The following is an 11,603-nucleotide window of genomic DNA, read 5'->3' as shown; positions in this document are numbered from 1 at the left end:
ACCCCAAAGCCAAAGAGGTTAGGTTATGCAATACAAGAAAACAGGGATTTAGACCTAAGAAGAATCTGCCCATGACTCTTGAAACTCCACAAAGAAAACAGAACACCCCAAAAGGGGTGAGTGGTACCTTTGTTCTGAATTCTTCAAAGGGGTTTAAGTCATTAGAAGCCTTCTCTAGATTTTTTTGGTACTGCAGATGGCAAAAGGGGGAAGGAGGTATAGGGTGGAAGTAAGTGAAAGAACATGTGTTTGTTTGTTTGTTTTTAACACAGGAAGCAAACACAGAAACCAAGTGCACGGTTGTTTGGAGTTTGCTCTTCCCCCCACCCGTCTCTTTTTCAGCTGCAAGGAATTTTAGCCAAATTAGAGAGGCTTTGTTACCCATAATTTGGAATTCTCACTTGTATTTGACCAAGTGAGGTAGAGCTGCTCAAATCTGATGGGAGAAAGACTGGAACAAATAACAAAAAACCCCAACAATATGATCACTGCACACTCTAACAGTAAGGAGAAATTAAGACCAGCTGGTTATTAAACTTTAGCCAAGACAAAACCCCAATTCAGCTACTTACCTAGAGATGGGTCTCAGGCTGAAGATCGCTTCCTACCATCCTAGAAGCAGGAAGAAAAACTCAAACTCATCTTTCCTGCTGGGAGCAAGCTCAAACTCCATAAAGGAGTTACCTGCCTTCCATCGTCATGGAAGCAGGAAATCTTGCCATCCTTGTTGGGAGCAAGTAAAACTCCCAAAAAAGGTGGGGTGAGGGTGGGGAGTTGTGCAGAAAAGTAAACTTTAAATTTCCACCAAATTTTGGGAGATCAAGGATTCTCTGGAAGGGGTGCTCCCAGACCTTAGTAAATTGTCCTGCCGGTTTGAGCCATAAAGTTAGCTCATGCTGGTACCATGCACCAATGGGAGGTTTGTCAAAGTTCAGGGGCACCTTCACTCAGAATCCCTCTATGGTTATCAAAATGTGAACCCTGAGTATCTGAGACAGGTCTCAGTTAATTTAGAAAGTTTATTTTGCCAAGATTGAGGACAGGTGCACAAGACACAGCCTCAGGAGGTCCTGAGGACATGTGCCTAAGGTGGTCAAGGCACAGCTTGGTGTTATACATTTTAGGAAGACATGAGACATCAATCAACATATGTAAGGTGAACATTGGTTTTGTCTGGAAGGGCAGGACAACTCGAAGCAAAGGCCGAAGGCAGGACAATTCAAAGCAGGGAGGGGGCTTCCAGGTCATAGGTAGATAAGAGACAAATGGTTGAATTCTTTTGAGTTTCTGATTAGCCTCTCCAAAGCAGGCAATCAGATATGCATTTATCTCAGTGAGCAGAGGGATGACTTTCAATAGAATGGGAGGCAGGTTTGCCCTAAGTAGTTCCCAGCTTGACTTTTCCCTTTAGCTTAGTGATTTTGGGGCCCCAAGATTTATTTTCCTTTCACAGTTTGTTGAAAGAATGTTGAAGAGATTGGCTATTATAGCTGGAGATGGGGAGGAGATGGTGAGGAAAGGTTTACTGACCAATGTGAAATATATTGGAAATGTTGTACTGATGCCCTTCTGGTTGATGCAGTCAGCACTTCTTGTGACTGGATCCCAGTAGCTGCTGCTTGGTGGGCTCAAACCTCACCACTGTCCTCAAAGGGACCCATACCTCAATCTCCCAGGGATGTCAGGCAAACTGAATGTGAATTCTTGACAGAGGAGACAAAGCCAGGTAATATTCAGAGGAAGAAAAGATGTGTCCAGAGTGGTATCCTTGACCCTGGCTGCACATTTGAATCACCTGGTGCCTCTGACACATCCCTGTCCTCTGTGCTGGCCCACAACCTGTCTCTCCTGCTCACATGGCCTTCTTCACATAGTTGTCATAAGGATCCTGTGATCATGGCAATGTTCTATGCATGTTATAAAACTGATGCACCGTGTGAGAGATGCTACAGTTAGCGCCCAACGTGGGTAGGGGGAAGAAGGCAAGTCACTCCCTGTCTGGGCATCTGAGACTTCTTGATCTTTGTAGTTTGCCCAGCTCCTTCCATCTAGGTTGTACTTGTTTGTGAGCAATCCCAACCAGCTTTAGCTGAGTACCTTGGTCCTGAAAGTGTCAGGGGAAAAGGGTGGAGGGTGGAGATGGGAAGGGCAGGAGGGTAGTGAGGAATGTGAAGCAGCTGGGCTGGACAGAAGTCAGCCATTCTACAGGCTTTGTCCTGAGTTGAGGCTCCAGAGAGCATGGCAACCTTCTTCCAAGGTGCTCCAATCCACCCCAAAGATGGCTCTGCCACAAGGACAGCTAAAGATACAGCACAATGGGGATGATGTGACTCAGAATCCCTGCCCTCCCATGGACACCAGTCCCCAGCCCCTCTGCCCAGGATGGTGGGATACTTTAGATTCCATGTGAAACTGCAAGCTGTGGCTGTGTCACACTCTGCAGGAAATGAGTACGAGATGCATCCCTGGGAAGGATGGGTACAGTCTTGGCAAATGGAAGGAGAAGGGTAGAGAGAGACCTGCACCACAGAACAGAGAAAACAGCCTGCCTGAGTCGCAGCGAGTGAACAAAGATGGGCCAGTGCTTGAAAGGTAAACATCAAAGAGATTTCCTTCACCTGCATATAAGAGGAGAGAAACCACTTTTCTCCTATCAGTTTTCAAACTCATTCATTCGTTCATTCATCAACATGTATTTACCAAGCACCTACTATTGCACCTATAAAATAAGTACTGCTATTTATTGAAGTACTTGAAATAAATTAATACACAAGAGAGACGAGGAGCTCCCATTCTGACAATGTTCTGCCAACAACAACAAAAAAAATTCTTCTCCATATTTCCAGGAGCCCAGTCCAAAATGCAGGCATTCCCTTGCCTACCAATTGACTGCGTTCCTGGGAAGAGCACACCTGTGTAAGCCCAGAAAAATAAAGACCTTTGTGTGGGCATCAGAAAATGTGGGTTCTGGTCTTGAGTCTGCCTGTGGCTCACTAAGTGACCTCAGATGAAACCCTGTTGCTTTCAGTGCCTCAGCTTGTCCCATGTCAGTGAATCAGATGGTGTCTAGGAAGTGCCCTCCAGTGTGCACTGTGATGTGTCAATTTTGGCAAACTTTATGCTCCATTGCACACCCCTCAGCCCACCTTTTTGCTCTGACCATTGCTGTAGCAGCCAGCTGTATGTGGGTGTAGCCTATGGGCACCTTACCTCACTTCATCTCTCTTGCCTTCTGCCCTAGGACTTCCCTCCTGCTGCCAAGTAGGAGCCCACTCAGCCATTTCAGCACAGGTGGGATCCCATACACCTGGTAGAGCCAGGGAGTTAACATCCCTGCAACCCCTGACCAGTGGAAAACAGGAGAAGAGTGGATAAATAAACATTCTCCTTTTCCATGCCTCAGGCAAATAGTTCTAAGGTGGATTCTACACAGTTCCTCAGAGGGTTCCTAGCATGACTAAGCCTGGTTGTCTCCAGCAGGTAACAGCTTTCCCTGTGGGTTCCTCCTGAGCCCCTCACTCCTATTCCCTGGGATCACTACAGGCAAACAAGTCTTTCCCTCAAGCTCTGCTTTTGGGGGAACTAAAATGAAGACATATGGTCATGTGACTGTGGGTGGAGGGTGCTGAGGTGACAAGGGTCGGAAGACAGAGGGTGGGGTTTATATGCTGGTGCTTAATATATGTGCTAATCCCATTTTATTGCATTGATAGTACAATGGATCTGCGTCAATGGGCAGCTCTTCCAGCCTGGTCCTGGGAAATCGTGAAGCTTGGAATCCCCCATGTAAATACCCAGTTTCCCAGATACCAAGACAAGAGATAACAGTATTTCTCGATTGCTCCAGAACCGGTTGGGGAAAGGTGTATGTTTGGCACATCAGAGAAAGCTCCATCTGGCATTACAACAGGACTTATTTCCTTGTTTATCTCCCTCCCCATCGGTCCCTCCCTCTCTTCTTTTCTCCTTTTCCCTTCCATCGCTCACTAAGGATGATGACTCAGCACTTTTCCTGAGTGGCTCCCCCTGGGAGATAGCTGGACCCACTGGCAGTCTGACCCCTGGCAGAGAGGGCTCTGCTCCCCTCTGGAGAAATCCAGGTAGGAGGGCATGTTCCCTAGGAGGGTGGGCTCCAGTCTGTGGACTCTTAACACCGTACCCTTTGTGCCCTATCTAATCCCACCCCATTTGGCATCTTCCATATAAAGTTCAATCATTTCTGCCTTCAGGGGCCTGGCTGGGGTGGCCAAGAAAAAGCTAAACCTTTAGCCTGGCATTCAGGCCACTCACCATCAAAGCCATGCCCGGCTCCGCCACCTCCTCATCAGGCATACTAGCTGCCTGGGACGGTCAGTTAAGCTTCAGTTAAGAGCATCAGCTTGGCTTTCTGACTGACCTGAGATGCAAATCCAACCCTGGGCAAGTTTCTTAACCTCTCTAAATCTCAGGTTGCTAATCTGAGATTTAGAACAGAGGTTATCATCACCTCTAACCCGTAAAGTTGCTTGGAGGATTAAAAGAGATAATGTGTGCAAAGCACCTAGCTCCCACATTGACAGCTCAGCACATTTTAGCTTAATATTCTCACTTGCAGTTGTTCTGGGGTAAGTGGTGATCGATAAAAGAAGAATGAGTGAGGCAGCCTCTAGCATGGATTCTAGGGCTTCCTTGCTTCCTGAACAGCTTGTCCCATGAAATAGACTTGCTTCAGAGTAATCCCAGCTGCCCCTGGCTGGTACTTGAGCCTGAGTGTGTGTGAAGTGGAGACAGAGGGCTGTGGAATGCGGGCAGGACAAACAGAATCAGGAGGCCTAGGAGCTGGCTATGTTCCATTCAAGTACGATCCCAGTAAGGCAAGCCAGGTGTCTGCCTCCAGAGCAGCCTAGAGCCTTTGGCTAAGGGCATAAGATCAGGCTCCTGAAATAAACAGTTTGTGGTGTGCTAGGCAGTGTATCAGGCTAGAGAGCTGAATCCAGGCCAGCCTCTGCCATGGACTCACTGTGTGATCCTGGGCAAGTAGATTCCTTCTCAGGTCCTCAGTCTGCCCATCTGTTCCATAGGAGGGTTGGAAGAAGTCCCGTCTCATGCTAAGATAGTGCGTCTTAACAATATCTTACACCTGAGATAGAGAGCAGAGTTAGCACAAAATCGGGAGACTGAAAGCAGCTGAGAGAAAAGCAAAATTGACTTTTTGTCTCCTCTAACCCCTAACCTTTGCCTACCTAATTCTATGCTTTTCATAACCAATGCCCTTCCTCCAGGAAGTCCTCTAAGAGTTCATTCCTACAGCCACACTGCTGTGCTTGGCTGTTTGTGATTCCCTTCCTGTATTTAGTCTGTTATATAAAAGTGCATTTGTTCACAAGCTCTCCTCCCCTCACTCTCCAATCGTACCTCCCAAGGCCCTCCAAGACCCCTCCCCCACTCAAAGGCAGGGGTTTATCTAATTCAACTCTCTGGTGGCCCATGGCTTAGCACAGAACTCAGTAGCCAACCATCCCAATGTGCCTGGGACTAAGAGTTTCCCAGGACACAGAAACTTTCAGTGGTAAAATCAGCAAAGTCTTGAGCATACTGAGATGGCTGGCCACCAGTTCATCCATAGTTAAGTCAGTAAGTGCTTATTGAGTTGAATTAAGAGGGGGAAAAAAGCAAGAAAAACTTGTTAGGAAAGTTGATGGCCTGTTTCTAATGAATTGTAATTTCTGGGAGATAGGGACCAGAAATTCATTGATCTTAATAATATGCCAAGGCTGCAACAAACATGTGCACAACTACAGACTTTGGAAAGCATTTTCTCAAGCATTTTCTCCATGGATTCTCACAAAACCCTGTGAGTTTGTTAAAGAAAGGAACCTAATCCCCATCTCACCAGCCACTAAGGTATAAAGAAGTGAATACATGGGGAAATATACCAAATCCATGGATGAGAAGACTCAGTATCACAAAGGTGGCACTTCTTCCTAAAGTAATCCATAATTTCAATGCCATTCCAAACAAAATAGTAACAGGAATTTTTGTGGGACTTACTGAGCTGGTCCTAAAATTCTTATGGAAGAATAAATGGCTAAGTATAGCCAGAAGAACTGGAAAAAGAGTAAGAGTGAACTTGCCTTCATAGGGATATCAAGACTTTTCAAAGCTATAATAATATTTAGAAGTGTGGTAATGTCACAATGGAACAGAAAGACTAACATGTTAAAACTTCATGTAAGATGAAAGTATCATTACAAATCAGTGTGAATAAATTAAGTATTAATAGATGATGCTATAACTATTGACTATCCACATGAAAATGAGGAAAATTAGATCTCTCATATCATACTTAAAAATTCCAAATGGATTAAAGACCTAAACATTAATTTGTTAAAGCTTTAAAACTTTTAAACCATAAGGGAAAAATTGATATATCTGATCAGAAAAAAATGGATAAATTTTACCACATTAAAATTTGAAATTTGTGTATGACAAAAGGTATTTAATAAGCAAGATTGAAAGACAAGTCACAGACTGAATCAGATATTTAAAAAGCATATAAGCATCCAAAATATATAAAGATTTACAAATAATAAGCAAAAGACAAACATACCAATTAAGAAATGGGCAAAAAACATAAAAAGGCAATTTATAAATGAAATATCAATGGCCAAAAACATGGAGAAATGTTTAACCTCACTAGAAATTAGGGAAATGAAAAGTTAATCCAGAATGAAAGTTCATTTCACATTCAACAAATTAGCAAACATCTTCAAGTTTGACAATGCCAAGAGTTCAGAATGTGGAGAAAAAAAAACTCTCACCTATTTCTATGAGGAGTATAAACTGAAGAGCACTGTGGCAATGCTTGGTAAACTTGCAGAAGCACAAACCTCACCACCCAGTGATTCTTCTTCTAGCCACATACCCAATTCCTATAATTATACCCAGAGACCAATGAAGGGTGTTCCTTGTAGCTGTGCCTGCAATGGTAAAAAAAAAAAAAAAAAAAAAAAAAAAAAAAAAAAAGGAGAAATATCCCAACTTCCCCTCAGTAGGAAAATTGATATATAAACTGAATAATCCCTGCAATGGAATAGCATATGGTGGTTAAAATTAATCAACCAGTTTACATATCTCAGTAAGAATACATCTCAAAAACAAAGCTAAGTGGGTGGAGGGTGGGGAAGGAAGTTGCAAAAACACATAAACATTTATGTAAATTTTTAAAATACAAAAACAACACTATGCATTATACACACACATCGTATGTAGAAAAAATATTAAAACATGCATGGAAACAATACACGTTAATTTCAGATTAGATTTTTATGGAGAGAAGGAATGAAGAGGGATAATTAGGTAGGGTTTTAGCTGTATCTAGGGTTTAACTGCTTTTAAAAGATAGGGTGCCGGGCACAGTAGCTCATGCCTGTAATCCCAGCACTTTGGGAGGCCAAGGTGGGCAAATTACCTGAGGTCAGGAGTTAGAGACCAGCCTGACCAATATGGTGAAACCCCATCTCTACTAAAAATACAAAATTAGCTGGGCATGGTGGCACATACCTGTAATACCAGCTACTTGGGAGGCTGAGGCAGGAGAATTGCTTGAACCTGGGAAGCGGAGGTTGCAGTGAGCCAAGATCACAGCCCTGCACTCCAGGCTGGGCAACAAGAGCTAAACTCCCATCTTTAAAAAAAAAAAAGATAGAAAGGGACATCTGAGACAAATAGGGCAAAATATTCACATCTGTTAAATCTAGAAGATAGGTTCATAAGTTTCTGTTAAATTATTTTCTGTATTTTCAGTTTGTTTGACATCTTGTCTCATAATTTAAATGTTAGATTTAAAACACCACCTTGGCAGGGGTGATGTGTGCAGTAGCTCCATGGCAGGGCTTGGAGCAGCCTCAGATGGGGCATAACTCAGTGACAAGTTGAAACAGTGGTGGCAGTGGCCATGAAGAGGTGGTCTCTTGAGCTTCTAGTGGCAGTTATGGTGTCCCTCTGGCTCCAAGGGAACCCATCTGAGTTAAACACAACCAGAATGGTCTTTGGACTCTAGCAAGCTCCTGGAGATTTCCCGAAATGATCACACTAGCAGGAGGCCCAGGGAGGAGCAAAGGGCACTCTCAGAGACTGGGGAGGTAGGAAATGCAACCATCTCGCAGGGATATTAAAAGGAGTTAGAAAGTAAGTAGTGCCTTTTGCCTTTTGAATGGAAATTGCTAGAAGACCCCATTCCCAGCTTAGGGGCCACAGGCTGAGAACCACTTCCTCTGGCTGACATGGCCCAGAGCATCCTGGGCAGAGCTGGAAGGAGAGCTCAGAGTCCTGACTCCCAGCCAACCCACAACTGCCATCTCAGCAACTCCCAGCATCTCACAGCCTCCAGCATCACGAAAGCTTCCAGTTTGGTAGTAGGGTGGGACTGCTGCTCAGAGTTGCCAAGTACCACACTGTGCAATGAAGACAGCTCTCTTTGCCATGAAGCCCCTGAAGCCTCCTTCAGAATCTGAGATCTCTCCCTCAAACTTGCTCTGTCTATGGATGTATGCAGGACAATGTCCCCATCCTCACCCCTCATCATTTCAGCCTATGGTCGGTTAATCAGTTTCTTACCATCAGAATTATAGAGCTCAGAGCTGAGAACATTAGCAATAAGTCTTTCATTCTATGGGTAAGTCCTAGAGAGGAGAGGGACTTTGTTATCAAGTCACCAAAAGAGCTGCAAAGAGAACTTTGTGCTGTAGATTTGTGCATTAATTGAGGCTGAAAGTCCCCTAGCAGAGCTGGAAGCCCCGGTGGAAAATTACACAGGGAAGGGAGGAGAGACATCTGAGCTATTCTAGTGATGGAGCCCAGAGTGGGAAGCCAGAGCTCATGGGATGGGGTCCCTGGCAACCAGGAGTCTGTGAGCTGTCCATGTGGAGATATACATTACTCAGGGCTTTACACAGAGGGAGCCTGGAGCAGCAATAGTTTTAGAAGCTGTATTAGTTCAGAAATCTGAAGAATCAAGGGAGCTTGCAGTAGCCAGAGGGTCCTGAGCTCTGTGGCCAGAAGGCAAGGTCTTAGGGAAAAACCCCAGGGCCTTCTCTAATCTTCTAGGTCCACCCAGAGGGTACAACCTGGAGTCAAAGGGAAAAGCAAACTCCAGCTCCAACAAAGCAATGGAGAGGAAAGGACAGTGGGGAAGCAAAGAGCCACTAGGAGCTCACATGGCTGCCTTCACGAAGCTGGCAGGAGGATGTCACAGCAGACAGTCTGGCAGGATGGTCACAGTGGCTGGCCACCCTCCTTGGCTTTATCTTTTTTTTCTAGCACTATCCATGTTACCCAGCTGTAATGAGGGAGAAGCAGCTTGTATTATCTGGGATTCTCCAGAGAAACAGCACTAACAGGATGAACATAGAGACAGAGGAAGCTTTATTATAAGGAATTTATTCACATGGATTGTGGAGACTGACAAGTCCCAAGGTCTGCTATCAGCAAGCTGGAGTCCCAAGAAAGCCAATGATACAGTCCCAGTCCCAGTCCCAGTCCAAAGGCCTGAGAACCAGGAGAGGTGACAGTGTAACTCCAGTGCAAGCCAGTAAGCTCAAGACTCAATTCAAGTCCAAAGACAAGGAAAAAGTGATGTCCTTGCTAGAAGGCAGTCAGGCAGCATGAGTTCCCTTTAATTCAGCCCTTTTGTTCTATTCAGGGCTTCAACTGATCAGACGAGGCCCACTCACATTTGGGAGGGCAATTGGCTTTGTCCAGTCTATGGATTCAAATGATAATCTTAACTAGAAACATCCTCACAGACACACCCAGAATGATGTTTGACCAAATATCTGGGCACCACGTGGCCCAGTCAAGTTAACAGATAAAATTAATCAGCACACAGCCTCTCCATCCAGAAGCACCTGGTGGCTCTTCCTTCTCAGTCCCCTTACTGGCTCCTTCTTCTCTGTATTCATTATCTATTATTATAGAACAAACCATCCCAAAACTTAACAGCTAAAAACAACAATCATTTTTTCACATAATTTCTGAGAGTCAGGAACTGGGGAGCAGTTTAGGTAAATGGTTCTGGCTCGCAGTTTCTAATAAGGCTGCAGCCAAGCTGTTGGCTGAGGCTGCTGTCACCTGAAAGGGCTGGTGACACGTGGCTTCAGTTCCACACCATGGGGCTCCCTCCCTGGGGCTGCTCACAACGTAGCAACTGGCTTCCCCCCACAGTAAGTGATTCAAGACAGAGAGAAAGCACAGGAGAGGAGTGACACAGTGGATCACACCTGCAATCTCAGCACTTTGGGAGACCAAGGCAGGAGAATCACTTGAGCCTAGGAGTTCAAGACCAGCCTGGACAACATAGTGAGACCCTGTCTCTACGAAAAAAAAATTTTTTTTAAAAAAAACCCAGGTGTGGTGGTATGTGCCTGTCATCCTAGCTACTCTGGAGGCAAAGGTGGGAGAATTGCTTGAGCCTGAGAGGTCAAGGATGCAGTAAACCGTGATCGCACTACTGCACTCAAGCCTGGACAACAACAGAGTGAGACCTTGTCAAAAAAACAAAAGAAGAAGAAAGAAAGAAAGAAAAAAAGGAAGGAAGGAAGGAAGAAAGAAAGGAAGGAAGGAAGGAAAAAAATAGAGAGCAACCAAAAAGGAAGCCATCATGTCTTTTATCATTTGTCTCAGTTTGTCTCAGATGTGATGTGTCATCACTTCTGCCATATTCTATTAGTCACACAGTTGCAGCCTGGTACAATGTGGCAGGAGCTACACAAGGATATAAGTTCCAGGAGGCAGAGACATTAAGATCCATCTTAGAGGCTGACTACTATACCCTGCACCAGACCATTAAATGTTGGTGGCTGCAGGGTTCTGTCTCAGGCCTCCTGCCCTTTTCCTCTGCATTCTCTCTGGGGACAATTCCCCATTCCCACCTGTATGCCAACAATTCTCAAGTGTATATTTCCTGCCCAAACCACTCCTCTAAACTCTATATATCCACATTCAGGCTTGACATCCCCACTCACCTGTGTTCCAGGCACTGCAAACTCAATGTTCTTACCCCCAACTGAAACTGTTCCTCACCTGCGTACCACATCTCAGTGAATGGCCCCACTATCCACTACTTTTCTCAGAGTAGCATTTGGAATGCAATCTGTCAGGATGTTCAGCAGACTGCACTTTCCAAAGAGCTCTCAAATCCATCCACTTCTTTCCATCCCACTACTATTGCCTAAGTGTACCCCACTATCATATTTACATGAACTACTGCAATGGTCTCCTAACGGGTCCTCCCAAATCTGCTCTGGCTTCTGTCAGATGCATACCCCATGCCACAACCAGTAGTATTTCCAGAGTGCAGATTTGGCCACATCACTCCTCTGCTTAAACCTCTTCTATGGCTTCCCTTGCCCTTCAGCCAAAGGGGAAGTCCTTAACTCAGCCCTCATGGAACTGCTCAATCCAGCGACTGCTCCCCACCCAGCTTATGCTCTCCCTCCACCCTCCCTTGATACTGCCTCCAACTCAGGTCTTCCAGAGCACACTGCTCCTTGTTGCCTTCAGGCTTTCCCACATATTCCTCCCTCAGCCAGAAATCCTCTTTCCTTTCTCTTTGAAAAGTCTGA

General features: G+C 45.1%; 1 long non-coding RNA gene across 1 annotated transcript; it reads right to left on the bottom strand.

Annotated features, from left to right (window-relative positions):
• Positions 1-471: 471 nt before the first annotated feature.
• Positions 472-7,666, bottom strand: LOC105378699 (uncharacterized). The gene is made up of 4 exons (XR_947299.3): positions 7,543-7,666; positions 6,801-6,959; positions 5,000-5,119; positions 472-612 (listed from the first exon to the last, which is right to left on the bottom strand). It is a non-coding gene; the product is annotated as an uncharacterized LOC105378699 (long non-coding RNA).
• Between the last annotated feature and the right edge of the window lie 3,937 nt (positions 7,667-11,603).

The sequence above is a fragment of the Homo sapiens genome, chromosome 1 (genome assembly GCF_000001405.40).
Source record: "Homo sapiens chromosome 1, GRCh38.p14 Primary Assembly".
Lineage (NCBI taxonomy): Eukaryota > Metazoa > Chordata > Mammalia > Primates > Hominidae > Homo > Homo sapiens.
This window is presented reverse-complemented; position numbering and strand designations above follow the sequence as displayed.